At 40.9% G+C, this 22,401-nt stretch overlaps 1 protein-coding gene across 20 annotated transcripts in view; it reads left to right on the top strand.

Moving 5' to 3' along the window:
• Positions 1-22,401, top strand: part of RGS7 (regulator of G protein signaling 7) — a 582,489-nt gene that overhangs the window by 85,615 nt on the left and 474,473 nt on the right. The window lies entirely within an intron of this gene.

Here is a 22,401-nt window from a genome sequence, read left to right as displayed (position 1 = left end):
CTTTACTCAGTCCACCATTCAAATGCTAATTTCTTCCAGAAAGCCTCTCACAGACACACCCAAAAATAATGTTTAACCAGATACCTGGGCACTCCTGTGAAACAGTCAAGTTGACATGTAAAATGAACCGTCACAGAAGTGTTGGAGGAATCCTGCTATGGGAGGCCACTGGAAAGCCTTAATGCATTTAATGGGAATTGTTTGAAGTATGGAGCATCCAGATAAATTTTCACATTTGATTTCCTTTTGTAAAAAAATGTTGAGGCATAAAAATTTCAGTTCAGTACAGATTTTTTACTGGTCCTCATGTGACACCAGTCTCCCCCGTCAAGTATGTCAGGAAACTTGGAGGTCATTCTTGGGTGAGGATCATATTACATAATACTTTAAGGGTGATAAGATCTGTTCAAGATTTTGAACTGTTTAGCTCCACATTATAAAGGAGACGTTTTAGCCACGTAAGTTCCCGCCAATAGAAAATACTCAGGTTCACATTCCACACAGGTCGGCAATGATGAATGCTTTCGCCACTGCAGCGATACTTAAAGTAGGGCCCGTGCAGAAATTAAAAGGGATGGGACCTGGAATCCCAGCACTTTGGGAGGCTGAGACGGGCGGATCACGAGGTCAGGAGATTGAGACCATCCTGGCTAACACGGTGAAACCCCATCTCTACTAAAAATACAAAAAATTAGCGGGCGTGGTGGTGGGCTCCTGTAGCCCCAGCTACTGGGGAGGCTGAGGCAGGAGAATGGTGTGAACCCGGGAGGCGGAACTTGCAGTGAACCAAGATGGCGCCAACTGGACTCCAGCCTGGGCGACAGAGCGAGACTCCGTCTCAAGAAAAAAAAAAAGGGGGGGGGGTTTATTTCTATGAACACTGCTTCATAGTCATTCTACATGTCAGGTCCTCTGTGTTTCTCATGACATAGGGCAACAACCTCCCCTGGAGAGAGAAAAGAAAACTTACTAGAGCTCCAGTTGGTGCTTATTTTCTTTAAACGAAGACAGATACTTGATCTCTGAATTACAAGTACAATTTCCAAGGACATCAGGATGGAGAAAACCGCTTCAGTTTTTGTGTCAGCCATGGGAATATGGCTTAAATTTTGTCTTGTTAAAAAAAGAAGTTTAAGTAAGTAGATTTAAGATAAAAGTTTTATCCTTGTAGGATTTGCAATGCAAGGAACAAAATGACCTCAAGATCATTAAAAGAGAGTATTTCTGCATCCCAAGGTAAATGGAAGGAATGTATTTCTATTGGTTCTTGGGTCCAATTTTAAAATATAGTGTTAGTCAGACCAAGGGCATGAGCTTGCTTGTATCCTAGACCGAGAGCCCCACTCCACCTGGACTAACTGAAGTTCAATAGGAATTGGCCCCATGGGAGAGGAAAAGCCACTCTAAGCTTAGGATTAGTGAGAGGATCAGGGATGCAGGGGCCAGCATTGATAAATGGAGCCAGTGGAGGCGGGCAGAGCTGGCACCAGGTCTTTCAGAGGGGTGAGGCTGAAGCAGAGTTCTAAAGGAAAAGAGGTGGATTAACTAAGATTTTGTGATACTCAAGGTCCCTGAGTTTATTCTTAAAAACATATATCTGCTCCTGTGCTATCCAACTCATTTCACTTACCAGTAGAGGCACTGCCAAAAGTAATGAGGTTCAGGAAGAGTGAGCTACAGTTATTTCAGCCTCATAATGCCCTATGTTTGCCAACCAATTTTGAGTGCACAGTCCTAAATGGCTACACTATGTACAATGCTGAAGGACTTGCTCTTGTGTTGTTCAGACAGCAGTGTACAATTACACTTGAAAATTCATAGATTAGGTTGTGGAAAACCAATACATCGAATTGAGAATACCTATGATGCATTTAGTTAGAGGAAATGTATTTATGGTTCAAAGAGTAGCAGATCGCCCACTCATCAGTGGAATCACCTTTCTTTCTTTTTCGATTTCTTCCCTTTTCAATTTGTCTCCTTCTTTTTCAATTTTCCTGACTTAATCTTTTCTCATCCCTTTTCCCTGCTTTCTAAATCTTACCAGGAGCATATGGACACACAAGCTGAATGCACACTTCTGGCAGTTATTCTTGGAAAATGCTTTGGCAAACTGTGTGATGATTGTATTACTGCTCTTACCACCTGGAAGAATCTATTATGATAAAAACATGTGATTGGGCAGGAGGCCTTGCTCGAGGGCCCTCTGGGATGGACGGAACGTGGGCTTGAACCCAGTGCTCTTCCAGGTTTATTTTTACTTGCTGGCATGCTCCAGGTATTGCTGTAGGCATCCGCCAGGAGGCGTCTACCCACGTTTCCACAAAAGGGAGCCTTGGACTAGAGCTTATGCCACCTCCACAGCCCTCCTATCGTGTTCAGCCAAGGCGTCTAGGCTGGTTACAAAAGAGATTTTTTTAAAAAGAGACCCACGAGTCTGTCAACTCTTCCATACTTCTTAAACTGTTAAAACTAATCTGGGAGCATGAGATAGTTGATCTGAGTTGGGAAAAGAAAAAATGATATAAGTGATCAATATCACTCTGTATAATTAATCAGAATCTCTAGAATAACTACTGAAGAAATTCATTATGCACGTACTAAACCAATAAATGAGGAATCACATTTGTAAAGTAACAGTACAGGTTTCTAGTTAAACATGGGGCATTGGGCATGTGGCTTCTCTCTGCCCCCTTCCACAAGTCCATGTAAATGCCAGTAAAAGACAGAAAAGACAAGGTCAATAGTGAAGAGGTGAGGAGTCAGGAGTGGGCTAGAGGTGTCCACACATTTTTGGAATATGTAGGGGTTGGAGGAGTGGAGACTGATCCAGCGGAGGGACAAAGCTGAACTCAGTGTCTGCAGGTATCATTGAGCAGCAACTGTTAGAGTCCCATAATGACACATGACTGGGGGCTCTAGATACCACAGAGAGCAAGGATAACACGAGGCAAAATTGCAAGAAAATCTTCACATGTGGCATTTACATCCCCACTTTCCCTCTCGTATCTCCTAGCTTCAGGAAACCACACCTACCCTTTGCTTCTAGAAGAGTTTAGAACTTTGTAACTGGAGAAACAGTTGGAAGAACTCAGACCTCAGGGAGCCCAAGCACCCTGCAGGGCAGTAGCCCACCCCAGGGAACATTGGCCCATATCTAGAGACATTTTTCATTGGCACAACTTGGGGGGTGCTCCTGGCGTGTAGTGGGTAGAGGCCAGAGATCTGCTAAACGTCCTACGATGCACCGAACAGTCTCCCACAGGGCTAGAGCCCAGGATGCCAATAGTGCCGAGGTTGAGAAACCCTGTTCTAGGGTGAAGAGACAGACAGGGCTGAATGCAGGAGAGGAAGCTGAAGTCTACGCACTGAATTATGGAAGCCTCAGCTCTCTTCCTGGCTCTGCTCCCAGAATGCTGAATGGCAGGTGGGCTTGGGCAGTTCTTTTCCACCAGAAAGCAGAAAAGTCCTCTAGACAGTGACTTTGGGTGTGTCCCAATAAAAAAGCTCTCACTGCCCAGTCATCCAACCTTAAGGTCCACCAGCTAGCAAGACCCCTAGTGTGCTCAACGGTCCGGTCAGCTTTTTAATGGCTTTGTTTTAAACACGAATGACAAGAAATACAAATGTTTTAGAAACATTCTAGAATCAGACATTTTAGAACAACCTCTAAAAGGAAAGGCATATTCTAAAATAAACCAACTGAAGTTAAATTTTCAGAAGTGTAAACAGGGAAATTAAAAAGTATAGAAAAAAAGAATGCTTCAAAAACCTCGTAGTTAATATCCTTGGAGAGATAACGGAAGATTCCATTGATTCTATGCTAAAGAGAGAAATCAGAGGACAGGATAGTGCTATGTGAAATTAAAAATATGTGTGCTAAAAAAATACATAGAAGAATTTAACAATAAAGTTGAAATTGCCTGGAGAGTAAAATAAAAGGCAAAGAAATTGATGAGAGTAGAGAAAAGATGTGAAAATGGGGGGCTCTAGCATGTGATCACTGGAAGTTCTACGTATAGAGAGAGATAATAAGGGGGAGAAATCAGTGGAAACAATGCAAGAATAATTCCTCAAACCAAAGAATATGCACTTCCAGAGGGAAAGGTCTGCCAAGTAGCCAGCCCCAAAAATTGAAAGAGAGAGAAAAAAAGGCAAATTATTGTGAATTTTTAGAACATCGAAGAGAAAAAATAAGTCCAAACAAAGCACTGGAAATAGGAATGGGCTCCAGCTTCTCTGCAGCATCCTGGTACCCTAGAAGGCAACGGAGTAGTCCCTTCGGAGTCCTGAAGAGCAAAGGAGTAATCAGGTGCAGTCATCTAAAGTAGGATTCTACACTTACTCAGACCCCTCCATGCAAGGTGAGGAAGGAACAAAGACATCTCAGGCAGCCAGGAGCACCTAAATCTACCTTGTATGCATCCTTTTTTGAGGAAGACGCTGGGAAGTGGGAGAAACTGAGAGAGACGGAGCTAGGATCCTGAAGTAAGACACCCAATCTCACGGCACATCTGAGGACAGGTACAGACCACCTGTGGTTAGAAGGCAGAGGTCTCCAGGAAAGAAAAATGAATCTGAATGATTTCCGGATTTGTAGGACTAGTAAAGCACTGGTTTTAACTCGGGCAGACCCAGACTTTACTTGCTTAATCACGGTACATACAGAGGCCAAATGTCTGAATTATAGGATTGGTCTTGTAAGTACAATCCTAGATCCAGAATCCGAGGAGGTTTTAGGGAAAGGAAGAAAAAGAATTTGCCTTGATTTTTTTGTCACATTTTTGTATCCAAAAGGAAAATTTACACTCTGTAAAATAAAACTGCATTCTTCACTAGGTTCCTGAAGTTTCTATCCAATGCTTAGCAAGTTTTAGGTGTGCCACAAGTAAATGTTAGTTGAATGAATGAATATTTCAAATATGGATCTTAGTCCTACAAAGTGTGGAAGACTACGGAAGACCTCCCAGAAATCTTTATAAAATACATTGAGGAAAGGTAATACAAGTGGAATAGGCCTGGCCCCAAATGGAAAAGCTCAAGCAGTGAATGTGTTCTATAGAGACTAAGAACTGGATAGAGATTTTAAATTAAAGGAAATAGAATGGAGAGATTTAGCCAATTATGGAACCAAGATAATCCTGATAAAAGCCACTTTCAAAAATTAAAGAATGGAATAAGTGTGTGATCTTGGCAATACCGAACTCCATGATCTTAGGGGGGTTAGCTAACAGATTTAATGAGGCACCCAATTATTTTGAAAATCACAAAAACCTGGCATGATGCCAGAGCTACACATAGAAGCTGCAAAATAGTTTTAAAAATAGGTGAATAACAGTCTTGAAAATTTGGTGTTAATCCTTGGAAAAATAACATGATTAAAATGAGATGAAAATGGCAAGTGGCCCTCGTTCTGATTTTTTTGTGACTCACAATTCCCCTTGAGCTCTTCTAAAACTTCCTGGACAGATCAGCTCTATTCAGCCTCTGGAAACAAGTCTGTCTTGAATGCTAAAAAGCAGGGAGGCCAGGCGCGGTGGCTTATGCCTGTAATCCCAGCACTTTGGGAGGCCGAGGTAGGTGGATCACCTGAGGTCGGGAGTTCGAGACCAGCCTGACCAACATGGAGAAACCCCATCTCTACTAAAAATACAAAATTAGCTGGGCATGGTGGTATATGCCTGTAATCCCAGCTACTCGGGAGGCTGAGGCAGGAGAATTGCTTGAACCCGGGAGGCGGAGGTTGCGTTGAGCCGAGATTGCGCCGTTGCATTCCAGCCTGGGCAACAAGAGCAAAACTCTGTCTAAAAAAAAAAAAAAAAAAAAAAAAAAGGACGAGGAAAAGGGCAGTAACTTGAGATCAGGGTGACTTGGCTGCTAATATTTTATCCCATGATTCAATCTGAGTAATCAAAGTTCTGTTTTTTTCCTTAGATTGAGCATCTATTGACTCATTTGTATCTGCCCTCTGTGGCTCAGTCTTTGTCTGGATAATTGGTCCAACTCCTTCCTTTAGTTTGCTTGTCTGACCTATGTAAACTTTGGAGCCCTGTCCCCAGCCCCAGCCGTCTTGCCTGGAGGCTGCATCCTGTGGTTAGATGTGGATCTCATAAGACTGCCTCTGGCTACCTACACCTCCTGTGGCTGTCCTCCACCTGCCTACAGAAAAACCTTCCTCTGTATCTTCTTGGTCTCTCTGTTGCCTTGCACTCACTTGGAGGCCATTTACCTTATTATTTTCTATATACTCAGAATCAACTGCGTGTGTCAAGTTGACCCATGAACAAGTTTGTTTTGATTGCCTTCTCTGCATCCCATTGGTTGAAGGAGGGAGGGATTATGGAGATGGCCGAGTAAATGGCACCTGCCGCTGGACAGATAACATTGACAGCAGTTTATTAATCACATACATTCACAGCCTACAGGAGGAGGCCACTGCAGGAACAGCCACACAAAGGCTGCACTTGGGAACACGGTGAACAATCAGGGGATGTGGGAGGTAGGCTTTGTAGTAACAAGAGGTTGAACCCTGGTTCCATGGGAGAATGTGACTGGCTTATTTGAATAACTCCATGGGCTGGAAGGGAACTGAAGGCCGCCACTCAGAGAAAAGCAGAAACTGGGCCTGCACTTCTTAATAAGGAGGGTTGTTTGGCTCCAGGATCTATGGGAGCCCCATGGAGGGGGAAACTTGCAGTTAGGCCGCTGGAGGATCTCCTGTTTTTTCCAAGATGTCAAGGCACATATCATATTGAGGCTTCATTTTAGGCCTTCATACCACAGGTCCTCCCTCTATCTCCTGACCTGTTGGTGTGTTTATGTCTGTCTCTTCCTTTTCTGCTCCAACCACTGCATTTAGCCTTCTATCTCTTACTGCATCATGGGGCAGAGTCAATCCACACCAACTGCACTGATCTATTTAGCATTAAAAGATCATGTAGCTTACTGGAGACTTCATAATTATTCACCTGAATACATTCATTTCATAGCTGAGGAAGCTGAGGTTATTGAATGCCCTGAGCCCAGTCACATAGCTAGTTATGAGCAGAAAGAGTGTTCTTGAAAACATGACGTTCAGGGTTTTTTATCAATACATAGAATTAATGTCTTTTTTTTTTCTTTGAGACAGGGTCTCACTCTGTTGCCCAGGCTGGAGTGCAGAGGCACTGTCTCAGCTCACTGCAACCTCCGCCTCCCAGGTTCAAGTGATCCTCCTGTTTCAGCCTCCAAGTAGCTGGGATTGCAGGTGCACGCCACCACAGCCAGCTAATTTTTGTATCTTTAGTAGAGATGGGCTTTCACCATGTTGGCCAGGCTGGTCTTGAACTCCTGACCTCAAATTATCTGCCCACCTTGGCCTCCCAAAGTGCTGGAATTACAGGCATGAGTCACTGCGCCTGGCCTAATGTCATATTTTTAAAAGGAGATATGTTCTTGTGAGAAATTTGTTCAAATTATTTGGAAATTTAAAAAATACTCAAACATAAGTTAGAATATTAATTGCTCAGTGAATAGTGCTATATACTGGATGAGGTTTTAAGAGCTCTAGTAAGTCAGGGTGGTGCACGGTGGTTACTATTAAGCAACATGAACAACTTCTGGATTATCAATTATTTCTTATAATTTGGAAATGACAGTGATTTCCCTACCTTCTATTTAAAACCACAGAGGCGCCATTTATTTGAATAATCACTGGCATGAAGTTCTGTGACTTCTGAGTAGTTCCTGCTGTGTTTCCAGGGATATAAGAGCACCCAGGCCTGGTTCCCTCTTTCTGGTCCCCAGAGTTTGCAATGTCAGGATATGCAACAATTTGGTAAATGTAAGGTTCATGAGGCCGGCATTTTGGACTCTTTTTTAAAAATTTGATTATTTTTAAAGTTGACACATTGTAATTGTACATATTTATGGGATCCAATTTGATGTTTTCATGCATATAAATTGTGTATAATGATCAAGTCAGGGTACTTAGCATGTCTGTCACCTCATACATTTATCATTTATTATCTGCTATAACCTTAGTACTTTGCATATGCCAGGCACCCTGTAAATAAATGCCTGCTGAATAATGAATGCAATAAGTACTGGTTTCCACACAGGTCCACCTGTTGCCAAAATAAGCCAGAGAAGCTCCAGAGACGAGCCCTGTTGGTTTTATCCACCATGCTATAGTTGTACCCTTTGGAGCGACTGCAGTTCAAAATATAAGTTCCTAACCGGGCACTACATGTTCCCCAGAGACAGGGCTGTTGGCTGAAAGCAGATTGATGGAGTTGTAGGAAGTGTGCCCATTATAAGCTATTGATAATATTTTATTTTATATATATATATATTTTTCTTTTGAGATGGAGTCTGGCTCTGTCACCCAGGCTGGGGTGCAGTGGCGAGATCTCGGGTCACTGCAACCTCTACCTTCCGGTTTCAAGCAATTCTCCTGCCTCAGCCTCCTGAGTAGCTGGGATTACAGGTACATGCCACCATGCCCGGCTAATTTTTGTTTTTGTTTGTTTGTTTTGTTTTGAGACAGAGTTTTGCTCTTTCGCCCAGGCTGGAGTGCAGTGGTGTGATCTCGGCTCACTGCAACCTCAGCCTTCTGGTTTGAAGGGATTCTCTTGCCCTAGCCTCCAGAGTAGCTGGGATTACAGGTGTCCGCCACCATGCCTGGCTAATTTTTGTATTTTTAGTAGAGACGGCGTTTCACCATGTTGGCCAGGCTGCTCTCGAACTCCTGACCTCGTGATCCACCCGCCTCGGCCTCCCAAAGTGCTGGAATTACAGGCATGAATCACCACGCCTGGCTGATAATATTTTAAATAGATGAGGTATTGTGATATTTTCTTAGTGAAATGCAGGTAGAAACACCAAAAGCAGAGACTACCCGTAACCATGACTCTTTTGAAGAAGTGCAGTATCTCTGTTTAGAAATTGGGAAATAAACACTTAGGGAGTCTTCACAAAATTTTAAACTCTGCGATTTTATAATTATGTTGCTACGAACAATAGTAACAATGTGAGATGTGGCCACAATTCTGAACTATTGATGCAGAGGTTAAGCTAATTTTCCATTTTGCTTCAAAGCTCACAAACAAATCTCTCTTCCCACATAACTGTGCATTAAGGACAGGTGAAACAACTTTCTCATGAGGCTTATTGAGATTGTTGATAGTGCCCATGAACTTCTGGCATCTTTTTTCTTGAAAGCTGTTGCTGCCTTGGATATGATGCTATGAAGATGAAATATTCCTTTACTTGATTGACAGTGAGATACTTTGCAATTCTCATCCAAATGTCACAGAATGCCTTGGTCCCCACCAGCTGAAATGGGACCCTACCTATTTTAAGAACTGCAACAATGGCGTATTAGCTGTAGAGACATGGATCTCTTCTGTAGCCTCTGCAGTATTTGGGACCCATACAGAGAGGCCTTCTTCTCTTCCTTGCCTGGCACACTGTGAATCGCCAAGACCTTGCAAGGGGGAATGGGGAATGGGGTAGGGTGGAACAGTCCCAGCCTTTCATGTGAGGGTCTGAAATTGAGACTTTGAGGACATACATATGAGTTGTGTCTTCCTGTTGATAAAAATTTCATTTCACTTAAAAAAATCCTTTTTTCTACCTGTTCTTAAAAAATGAACAAACAAAAAATCTGTTTTTCCTGGGCCACTCACAAAGTATATATGTAATACATATTTATTATTATTTTAATCTCAATCAGCAAATTTCCCCCATTTTTCTATCTACAACCAACCATAAAAAATCCGGGGAAATACATTTTTTATTTCTTGCTTTACTAATCATCATGGTTTTCTTCAGCTCTAGTATCACCAGATGAATATATATGGGTTTTTTGGTTAAAATTAACATTATGGCTCCTGATCCTTATTTAGCATCTGTCTTCTTGGTATGAAGGGGTAGAATATGATAGTAGGGCTGGAATGATTGGGGTGACTATCTAAATCATTGCCCTCATTTTTTTTTTTTTTTTTTTTTGAGACAGAGTCTCACCCTGTCGCCCAGGCTGGAGTGCAATGGCACGATCTCGGCTCACTGCAACCTCCACCTCCCGAGTTCAAGTGATTCCCCTGCCTCAGCCTCCCGAGTAGCTGAGACTACAGGCACGTGCCACCACACCGGGCTAATTTTCTTTTTTTTTTATTTTTTAGTAGAGACTGGGTTTCTCCCATGTTGGCCAGGATGGTCTCAGTCTCCTGACCTTGTGATCTACCTGCCTCGGCCTCCCAAAGTGTCATTGCCCTCATTTTTAAGAAGAGCAACTTAAAATGTAGCAAGAGCTGAAACTAGAGCACAGGGCTTCTAGTCCCAGCTGCATGCACTTCTGTTCCCAGCCGCATCCACTTACCAAGACACTCCGAGGCTACTGCTTCTGGGGATGACTTGAGGCACCAGCAGGGCCCTCTTCCCCAGTGCCTGTCCTAATCTGTGAGAACAGCAATCCTTTGAGGTTCGAAGAAGCCTTTTGTTAAAAACACTGCCTTTTGTTTGTTTTTTTTTGTTTGTTTTGTTTTGTTTTAATTTTTTTTTAATTATTATACTTTAAGTTTTAGGGTACATGTGCACATTGTGCAGGTTAGTTACATACGTATACATGTGCCATGCTGGTGTGCTGCACCCACTAACTCGTCATCTAGCATTAGGTATATCTCCCAATGCTATCCCTTCCCCCTCCCCCCACCCCACAACAGTCCCCAGAGTGTGATGTTCCTCTTCCTGTGTCCATGAAAAAACTGTCTTAGGGAGGAGTCTCACCTTAAGTCTGTTTTAACCAACTCCTTAGATATCTGCTAGCACCTTCCCAGGATTTAGCAGAATGAGACAAAGGATGGATTTGGGTTTTAGAGGCTAGAGCAGTAGGATGGAAAACATGGGCATTAGTGTGATATGCTCTTGCCATTCACAATTTTCTTTAATCTTCACAATAAGCATGTGTACTTGTAAAGTAGATAATATTACCCTTATAGTAAAGGTGAGTTCAAGATTCAGTGAAGGTAAATGCCTTATCCAAGGTCTACACACAAAAACTGAGAAACAAATATGTGAAAAAAAGCAACTGAATCACACCTTACTCTTTTTCCTTATCTTCACCTGAGCTAAATTTATTTAGAATTTTAAAGCACAAATTGGCTGCCCTGTGTAAAGCAGGTGTGCCAGTTTGAAGACAGGTATGGCTTTTTCATGTAATAGCAAGTATTTGATATACCCAATATAGTAAATGGAGGTGAGGTTACATTAAATGATGATTCAGCCACTGAGCAGGTATTTAGGGCTGCCTTGACTGTGCCCGACAGAAGCTAGGATCACAAGAATACTATTGAGGATCAGTCTCTATCTTCAAGTGACCTACTGTGTACTTGGGAGAGTTCCCTACGAGAAGCAATAAAGTAATTGATAGGACAATTGTGGCTTAGCCTGTGAGTGTTGTAGGAGCTCAAAGAAGAGTGAGATCAATAGAGACAGTGGTTAGAAGAGTTCCATGGTGAAGGCAAGACTTTCTGAGACGAAGCAGTAAGAATTTGGGTGGGTATAGGACAAATTCCATATGGATGGCAGACAGTGTGGTGTAGCTAAAGAATATAGGACTGGAAGGTAAATGACTTTCATTCATTCTGGTCTTGACGATTCAACAAATTAATTATGGGGATAAAAACCAACATTTTAATCTCTAGGCTAGATTCTGAAATGAAGAAATAAGCCTAGATGGTCACTAAGGTCCCTTTTACTACTAATATTTTATAATTTTAAACTGTGCCAATTAAGTATAGTGGCATCAGTTGAGGCTGGAACATGTCATGAGAACCAATGATGCAGTGACAGATGCAGGTGGCACAGGGACCTTGTGTCCTGCAGGCTTTGTCCTGGACATGTTCTTGAGCATCAAAACATATTGTTGTTGCTGTTAGATTGGTATTTTAATTATATATATATATATATATTTTTTTTTTTTTTTTTTGAGACGGAGTTTCGCTCTTGTTGTCCAGGCTGGAGTGCGATGGCGCAATCTCAGCTCACCGCAATCTCCATCTCCCAGGTTCTAGTGATTCTCCTGCCTTAGCCTCCCGAGTAGCTGAGATTACAGGCATGCACCACCACGCTTGACTAATTTTGTATTTTTAGTAGAGGGTTTCTCCATGTTGGTCAGGCTGGTCTCGAACTACCGATCTCAGGTGATCCACCCGCCTCAGCCTCCCAAAGTGCTGGGATTACAGGTGTGAGCCACTGCGCCTGGCCAGTAATACATAATTTGTTCCTAATTTTGTTCTTTGTGGTGTCTTTTTGGCCCTTATACTTATCATACCTTTATATGCCACACCCAAAGGTCCATTAACTAGTGAACTTCTTGAAGATAGGATAATGCCTAATCAATACCACGGCTAGTATAGTGCCACATTATTTGCTGCTTGATAAATATTTGCCAGAGAAAATTGAACGGATGTTCATGTGCTTGTCAATTTTTTGGAACATGAGAAAGTTGTAGTAGTATTTGAAATTGATGCTATTAACTGGAAGTATGGGGAGTGAGCGAAGAAGTGAAAGGTGGTCTTTCCATTGTGGGAAAGGGAGGGGCAGGAACTGGGGCGCATACCTGTATCTCTCTACAATTTTCCTGCTTGTGAAGTATGGCCCCCTGCTGTAATTGACATTGTTACACCAGTATTCCTAGTTATATGAAGAAATTTAAAAGCAAAGGTGTAACTTTTAGGCTGATTGTCTGTTGTCTTTGAAGCCTGCAGGATAATACTCTGTGAATTATCACGTTGCTAGGCAAAGTTCGTTGGCGTAGAAAAGTTTCCTTGTATTTTGCCTCCCGTAGAAGACCATCTGAATAGTTTTTCCCTCCTGAATTTTTGCTTGTTAAAATTCAGGCTTCAGTGATGTTCACAGAGTTTCTAGCCCAAATCAGTTCAATTAGAACCTGCAAGGGTGTCTGTTCCTTGTTAGGACTCTAAGTGGTCTGACTTGTGTGACCTTGGTCTTTACTAATAGAAGCATAGAATAAGAACAAGCTGTGGCCACCTGGGAAAGGATGTTACATTTTATGATTTCCTCCTTTTATCTACTTAATTCTGTTCCTTTAAAGACCTTGGTATGCGTGCATGACTCCTGAAAGCTTGATGTAGCTCCCAATAAATATGTAACCGAATTAATTGCTTTTGAAAAGGTCACCAGTAGCTTTAAACATTATAAATTATGAGATTCAATAAGTTCTGCCAATAAAAATCCCTCTATTACTTCTCGTTCCTGAAATGTGTAAGACCTTTAGTCTAGAATGGTTTTCTCATTTCTCTCCCATTCACGTCCCATGTCAATTTGTTTTATCTACATTAAGTCTAGGTCTCTTTCCTCATTTCCCCAGGGGAAATGGGTTTCACTGAGATTATTGAAGTGCTGCAATTAATTCCATTTCCATAAGAGAAGGGAAATCTTTCCAGCTTCCATAAATCTAAATGAATGTGATGAAATAAAAAAAGAAATAAACTTCTTGCCAATCCAGAATACTATATATAAGAATTATCAGAGATAGTCTCATTACATAGTCAATAGACTTTTCTTTACTCTGAGGTTTTCAGGAGAGCTAAGTTTTTAGGAGGTTGGAATTCATAGTGTCTACATACTATATTATAATACCTTTATACTATATGAGTATCTTTACATAATTTACATCATTCTACCTGCATTGTGTTATAGATTTTAAATCTTCAATGACAATAAAGGAACTATATAGTCTATGTCGTGTTTGGTCTTGTAGAGTGAAAAGTGAATTCTAATTCTAGCAAACACTTTCTGCATGAAATACAGTGAAGCATTTCAGTTCTCTGTGCCTCTGGTTCCTTATCTATGAGGCAATGTAGACCACATTTTTTTTCCTTTGTGTGTGCTTGCAAGGAGGGTAGGAGAATGAGAGGTGAGAAAAGAGAAGGTGGAGAAAGAATCTCCTTACCATTGGCCTTCTGAATTAAAACTTGATGTTTTACTCACACTTTGGACAGAATTTAATTCCCCAAAGGGAAATGTATTGTTTCCCCTTAAATTAGATAAAAACATTTTGGGCACAGTGTTGCAAATTTTTTCAAATTTTTATTTCATTGACTGGTTAATTTTGGCACAATCTAGGTTGGTTTAAGTTTTTTGGAAAGTATTCCTAAGTGTCTGTTAGGAGACAGTGATTTCTATGGTTTAAATGTTTATGTCCCTCCAAAATTTATGTTGAAACTTGATCCCCAATATGATAATATTAAGAAGTAGGGCCTTTAGGTGGTGAGTAGATCATGAAGGCCCTACCCTTATGAATGGCATTAATTTTCTTATAAAAGGGTTTGGGGGACTCTGTCAGAGAATACAGAAAGAGGTGACATCTATGAAGTAGAGATCATACCCTCAACAGACACTGAATCTGCTGGCACCTTGATCTCGGACTTCCCACCATCCAGGACTATGAGAAATAAGTTCCTGTTGCTTATAAATTATCCGGTTTCAGATACTTTGTTATAGCAGCCCAAATGGACTAAGACAGTAGTCTTAGAAAAGCAATGTGTGTGTGTATATATGTACACTGTATATATACACAATATATATAGTGTATACACACACACACATATATACACATATATATACAATATGTATATATAGATACACACACGTGTGTGTGTGTGTGTGTGTGTGTGTGTGTGTGTGTATTTCTAGTGGTAGTTTAAGAATAACTGGGGTCTTGGCCTACGGGAGAAGTTGACAAATATCCTTGCTATGGACTGAACATTTGTGCCTCCCCAAAACTCATGTGTTAAAATGAGATGATATTAAGAAGTAGGGTCTTTGGGAGGTAAATTGATCATGAGTGTGAAGCCCTCCTGGTTGGGATTAGTGCCCCTATAAGAAGAGACACAAGACCTTGTTCTCACTCCCTGTGCTCTCCACCACGTGAAGACACAGCGAGAATGCAGTCATTGGCCAGCTAGGAAGGGGCCCCTCACCACACACCAGATATGGCAACACCTTGATCTTGGATTTCCAGCCTTCAAAACTGTGAGACATAAATTTCTGTTGTGTCAGCCACCCAGTCTATGGTATTCTTGTTATGGCAACCTGACCTGAGTATGACAGTTGCTTGAAGAAATTGTAAATAAGTGACCAACAGGAATACCTCACAGTTATGGTGGATCCTCATCCTCAATGATTGACAGTGAAGTGTTTCTGTGGATATCAGCTGGTTGGTACTTTTCTGTGCAGGATCACTCTTTGAAATCATGCCAGGTGTTGACAAACATTTTTTTCAGAGCATAGTCTTTTTAATAATTTCCAAAAAGATCTTTTGAGAGGGAATTTAAATTTTTACAACCACCCAGAGCCTTTTAAAAAATGTATAATTTTAAATTATGCATAAATTTTAAAATATTGACACCCTAATTTTCTATATCCTCTTACATAAATAAGAAATTGATGGTTCAGTCTTGCTGAAATGAATTTGTTTTATTGGGGGAGGTGTGGCTAGAGAATTACAGAACAGGGATTCCCAATTAGTTAACTGGTATCTTAAAAGATCTTGAAACTTTCCCTCATCTATGTGCAGTTTTATTATTGTTCCAGATCTCTCTTCTTTTTAGTTTGTCATTTTCAAGGACTTCTCAGTCTTATTTCTTTCTTTACCGCTGGTGTCCCAAAATTTCCGGAAACATAGATTATTTTCATAAACATATTGTGGAGCCCCAGTCAGAATTTCTGGTTTCTCTTGCTAAGGGAATTACCTAAGTTCTCTTTGAAATGCATGTTTACTTAGTGAACACCCATTTGGGAGTTTTAGAAAAGCACATCGCGGTAGGAACCACCATATTTCCAGTCGAATATGAATTCAGAATTCTCTGAATTCCAGTTGAATACGAATGCAGAATTCAGAATTCCAGTTGCATATGAATGCAGAATTCTCTCCACATTTATCTAAAGAAGGAAGCACATTGCAGATCTCTCAGGAATCAAGCCCTGTCTGCTTCAACCAGGATGGTGGGCTCCCTAAATGCTGACAGCAGTTTCTCTTTACCCCCCTCACTTGGTTTAAATGTAGCAATTGTTGTCATTCTTGTGTTCCCTCAAGTTCAGGCCTGCTCATTTTTCTGTGTGAGCTTAGAATGCCTTTTGTTTAGGTAGGATTTCCTGTCATGGACAATCAGTTCCTAGAATTCTATTTGGTCCTGGTTAAACAACATTGTGTAAAAGCCATGGGTATCACTAACTACACCTGTCAATGATGAGTTGGAAGGATTTTAGGTGATGATTAATGCCAGTCTCTCTTCTATAAAACCTGGTTTCAGGATTGAAACATTATAGATAGGCTCTCATTCCCAGGAGAAGCTCAAAATACATTTATTTATACCTCATAAATTAGGACTCAGCTGATTCAGAACTGGCGATAGTCTGCTTGTACTATTTCACATTTATCACTCAGATGAATTAAAAAACAATAGTTGCCCACTAGTAATGACATAATCAGGATCAGAGAATGGTGTTCACTTATTTAAAAGAATAGTATGAACTTTAGCAAGCTAGTTTCTGAGATTATATATCTTCAGGGTTAGAAAGGACTTCAACAGTCATCTTCTATTCTCCATGAGGCCTATGTTTCTCCATCTGTAGAAGGATAGTTGGTTGGATGGGATACTTGCCCAGTTCTGAAATTCTGTGATGCTATGTAGTGGGTGTTTCAGCATAGAGTTGGTGACTTTTGGCATCAGCCTCAGGAATAAATTAAATATTTCTTGGGAAATGTCAGAAGTGTTGATATCTAGCACTTTCCAGGTGGTAAAATCCCAGACAATGTGGTTTTTACTATATCATTATAGATTTGCAATTTACTCAGTTAAACATTATTCTGAGAATAAATAGTTGACATCTTGTAACTTATTCATAAGAATTATACAATTGAAACCTCAAAAAAAATCTTTCTATGGACTGAATGTTTGTGTCTCCTCCAAAATTTATATGTTGAAACCGTTATCCCCGAGGTGATGTTATTTGGAGGTAAGACCTTTGGAAGGTAATTGAGTTTGGATGAGGTCATGGGATTAGTATCCTTAGAAGATGAAGGAACCAGAGCTCTTTGTCTGTCCAGCATGTGAGGGCACCACAAGAAGACGCCATTTGCAAACCAGGAAGAGCCATGATGGCACCTTGACCTTGGACTTTCCAGCCTCCAGAACCGTGAAAAATAAATTTTGTTGTTTAAGCCACCCAGTCTGTGGTATTCTAGCATCCCAATCTGACTAAATCACAGCTCAAGAAAATTTCTTCTCTGTGAATTCCATTGTTCACAAACATGACCTTGCCACATCTTCAAACTACTCCCATATTCTTCTAACCCCTTTACAGCATGGCTTCACCACTAATTTCTTTCTTTCTTTTTTTTTTTTTTTTTTGAGATGGAGTCTTGCTCTGTTGCCCAGGCTGGGTGCAGTGGCGCCATCTTGGCTCACTGCAAGCCCCACCTCCCGGGTTTGTGCCATTCTCCTGCCTCAGTCTTCCCAGTAGCTGGGACTACAGGCGCCCACCACTACATCCAACTAATTTTTTGTATTTTTAGTGGAGATGGTGTTTCATCGTGTTAGCCAGGATTTTACCACTAATTTCTTAACAGAATCTATCACCATCAAAACCAATAACCTCTGCCTACTGCTCTCCTCCTCAATTTCTTCACCACATTGAACACTGTCCTTCTAGAATGGGACATTCCATTCCTAGAATCATGATTTCTTAGTCTGTCTCTGACTGCTCTTTTTCTGTCTCTTTGACAGAAATAAGAAGAGCCTCCTCTACTTCCAGCTTCTAAATCATTAGTTGAATACCAGGGAAAAGGGAGGGGACTGTAAATCAGAAACCCTGGGGGAACTTTTCAACATTGTTCTCAAGCCCATGCAGCATGAGTCAGAATTATGGAAGGAGAGAAATGTGTGGTTGGCCCATGTGTACAGCTGACACAACGGTGGGCATAAAGTACCAAATAATAATTCTACTGCCTGCTGTCATTTAATGGAGGGTCAGAGGGAGAGCTATTTCATCGTTGCCTCTTGCACAGTTAGGGATCCATTTTCATTTCCACTTCAAGGAGGGAGTGACTCTTCCTGTCAAATGGAATTGAAATTCTCCCTTTTATCATCAGAATACTCCAAAGAAGCTTCATGTCACAGAGATCTATGGCCACCTGGGAGCCCTCAAGAAGGAAGAAGTGGGCACACGTTTACAGCAAACTACGTAGAATAAAACCCCACAGTATGGAGGTTTAAGCCAGACCAAAACCAGTCTTCTATCCCCACTGGCTTTTATTTCTCACCTCTCTTAGTGAGAAGACACATAAACAGACTGACATCATAATCTACTGCTTGTCTCCTACTAATAGCATGCTACATGTCGATAATCTGGGGAAATGATAATGGTTCTCATCCAATCTGTCAACAGTATTATGTGTCTTCATAAATTCTGGAGTTAAACTGCATAGGCATAGCATCAAGAATAGGGTAGAAACCTTCTTGATAGTTGATATGTGGCTGCTCAGACTAGGAAGAAAATATGTAATCACTGTAGAACTCTGTCTCAAGGCACACTTCTGACCTAGGGTGCTATGTATTACATTGGCTTTCCCCAAATATCTGGAAAGTCTAGCATCTTCAGAGGATGAGTACTGCTAACTTCTCAGCAAGACAGCAAATCTTAGAAGCAAGTCCGAGGATAAGGGGGGCAGTGTGCTTTGGGGAGATATGGATGACTAGATCTTCTGCCTCCAGGCCTGTGCAAAGCAACCTCCCCTTCCTTAAAAATGCACCACACTACTTCTGCCTAGAGGAGGTGAAAATGCCATAATACCTACCCGCAAAAGACTTACTCTTAATTTATTTGTAAAAGCTATGTGTGGTTGCATGTGGGTGGAGGGAGTCCTGAGGCTTAGCAACATTCAGGCAGGAGACCTGAGGATGGTCTCAAGGCCTCCTCTCCCTCTGAATTCTATGGTCCTCCAGGAAAAAGGGCATCACATCATAGAATTTCTCTACAGGTTACTTGGGAAACCGAGAATACACTGGGCTGTGTGTGACATGTTGCCCAAATATAGTGATGTTTCTCAAAGAAAGAAAACCACATGTATTTGTTGCAGGGTGTGGGAGGGTGTCAGCTCAGGGGCAAGGTGAGTTATTGAGAACTATGGGCTCTGGCTCATGGTAGTGAGTTCTTCTTTCATCATCTGTTTCAGTTGCTTTTACAGTTATCAAGAAAGAAAGTCAAGGTCCGGCGCTGTGGCTCACGCCTGTAATCCCAACACTTTGGGAGGCCAAGGCAGGTAGATCACCTGAGGTCAAGAGTTCAAGACCAGCCTGGTCAACATGGCGAAACCCCATCTCTACTAAAAATACAAACATTAGCCAGGAGTGGTGGTGGGCGCCTGTAATCCCAGCTACTTGGGAGGCTGAGGCAGGAGAATTGCTTGAACCTGGGAGGTGGAGGTTGCAGTGAGCCGAGGTCACACCATTGCACTCCAGCCTGGGTGACAGAGTGAGACTCTGTCTCAAAAAAAAAAAAGAAAAAGAAAGAAAGAAAAAGCCAAAAGCTGGCCTCTTCTTGGCCTCTGCTTATGAGGGACTATAAGTCACGCTTGGACTCCGAGGCTCCGCAGCCCCACCATGCAAATCTGTGTGTGGCTGCGGAGGGCTGTTTTACTCTTTACAGAGCTCCAAAGTGATTTACCTGAGAGTGGCAAAAGGATTTCCTTCAAATGATCTAAAAGTTTGGACCTTGAGTACACATTCTTGAAAAAATCCCAGCCAGGCGTGGTGGCTCACACCTGTAATCTCAGCAATTTGGGAGGCTGAGGTGGGCAGATCACCTGAGGTCAGGAGTTCAAGACCAGCCTGGTGAAGGTGATGAAACCCCGTCTCTACTAAAAGTACAAAAATTAGCTGGGCGTGGTGGCAAGCGCTTGTAATCCCAGCTGCTCGGGAGGTTGAGGCAGGAGAATTGCTTGAACCTGGGAGAAGGAGGTTGCAGTGAGCCAAGCTCGCGCCATTGCACTCCAGCCTGGGCAATCGAGCAGGACTCCATCTGGAAAAAAAAAAGAAAAGAAAGAAAGAAAAGAAAAAAGAAAAAATCCAAAGCACTTAACTGGTAGGACCTTCTTCACTCCAGGCAAACTTCAAGTGCTTAACTCTCACACTGCTTTCCTTCTTTACTTTTCTTCCTCACAATCATATTTTCTCTACAGTGAGTACATAATAGTAAGACATTTTGGGAGAGTTTCTTGTCTTGCTAAACTGCAACAATAAAGCAAGACATCTGAGCAATCATGTCTTTGAAGCCCGGGCTTCAAAGTTAAAGGCTTCAGGTACTTTTTCATTAGCACCAAACACAAAAATTAGTTAAAAGCATCCAGGAGTTAATTTGTATCTATGCCACTGGTAGTATTTTCTCAGTATCAAAATAGTTATTTGAATAATGCCTCCAAAATATTTTAAAAGTGTGTAGATACTTTCAAAAGGTTCACGATTTAATGCGAAAACAGAAGGTTTGAAAATATGCCGTGAAAGATGGCTTTGACCTGTTTTTATTTGGGATCAACAGATATCAGTTTCCATCAATTAAGGACACTTACTGAGCACCAATGCTAAGTGTTAGGGATTTAAAGATGAGCAAGGCATAGTCCCTACTTTTTAAATGAGCAGAGGAGACAAACACATAAATAACAAATACAGCAGAACCACTCACTATTCGGAGGGGCTTCCAGAGAGCCACAGGGCTTAGCCTTATCATCTGTTGAACTTCTTATGGTACCAATATTTCTTGGTTTATACAGGTTTTCTCCTGTTTAGTTATCAGATTTTATATTTGTTACTTGACAAATGACAGGAACCATTGACAGGTGTGCAAACACTCCTTAAACAGTCATTTGTCAAGAGGCCTAGTGCAATAAAGAATAAAGGCACAGTGCTTACCTGAGTATGGATGACTCATGCAAGCGAAAGGCCTGCAGACCCAATAGGAGGAGTAAGAGAGAAAGGCATGGCCTGTGCTATTTTCCCTGGTATTCTTCTGCAATCAACAACATTTATTCTCACATTTTAAAGTGCTTTTGTTACTTTGCAGAAGGTGAGTGTCCAAAAAAAAAAAAATCCCACAATATTAACAGGTTTACATTGGCGACTCCTAGTATTTATTCAGGATGCTGTTTTGCAGTTCATAAGCTGCAAATGGAATAGTATAAATGAAGAATCGATTACACAATTGAACCATAAATGCTTGTGCCCTGTTTCACTAGTGTAAGATTTAAGTTTACTCTGATTCCTCCCCCTCGATAAAATTCTCTGTCTTTCCTTTTAAAAATGATTTAGATATTAAATATTAAATAGAAAAGGATATACTAAAATACATATATGCTGTATAGAATAACACTTTGATAACATTCTGTGTACTCACCATCAAGATTAAGAAATACAACTTTGTGGCCCTCCCAAGGTTATTGCTTTCCCCATCCTGTAAAAAGCTCATTATGAATTTTATTATGAACTTTGTATTTATAATTTCCTAATTCTTCTGTATAGTCTTAACACATATATTTGCTTTCTCAAACAACATGTGATTGGTTTTACATATTTCTTAATGTAATATTGATAGGATAATACTATATATATTCCTTTTTTAAAATGTAACTGTTATGTTTATGAGTCAATTCATTGTTAACTGCCACATGAAATTCCAAAATTTTTTTCTGTATAAATATGCCACCATTTTTCTATCTTCTCAAGTGATAAGGAAAATGTTCTGGTGTCTTTCTGTTACAAGCAGCAGTACTAGAAGCATCCTTGTGTATATTTCCTTGTTCACTTGTCCAAGAGTTTCTAAGACATACTTAGAAAGAGATTGCTAGATCATAATGAATGCATATGTTCAGAAGAGGTGATATGATTAGTATGTCAGTGCTCCCCCAAAAGATCTATAGATTCATTGCAATCTCAATTGAAATCTCAGCAGGCTTTTTCGTAGAACCTGACAAATTGATTATAAAATTTATATGGAAATGAAAAAGGTCTGGAATTGCCAAAATAATTTTGAAAACAGACGTCAAAGTTAAGGAATTTATACTACTGATTTCAGGACTTATTGTAAAGTAAGCAAAACAGTGTAGTATTGGCATAAAAATAGACCAATATTTCAAGGGAACAGTAGTCTAGAAATAGATGACATATATGAGCAATGACTTTTGACAAAATGCTAGGACAATTCAATGGGGAAAGGATAAATTAGGTATAGTCAAATGCCAAAAAAAAAAAAATCTTGACCTTTACCATAAACCACATACAAAAATTGACTCAAAGTGAATCATATAGTGAAAATCGAAACCTGAAACTATAAAACTATAGAAGA

Source organism: Homo sapiens, chromosome 1, assembly GCF_000001405.40.
Source record: "Homo sapiens chromosome 1, GRCh38.p14 Primary Assembly".
Lineage (NCBI taxonomy): Eukaryota > Metazoa > Chordata > Mammalia > Primates > Hominidae > Homo > Homo sapiens.
The sequence above is the reverse complement of the archived record's forward strand: the minus strand, read 5'-3'. Positions and strand labels throughout refer to the sequence as shown.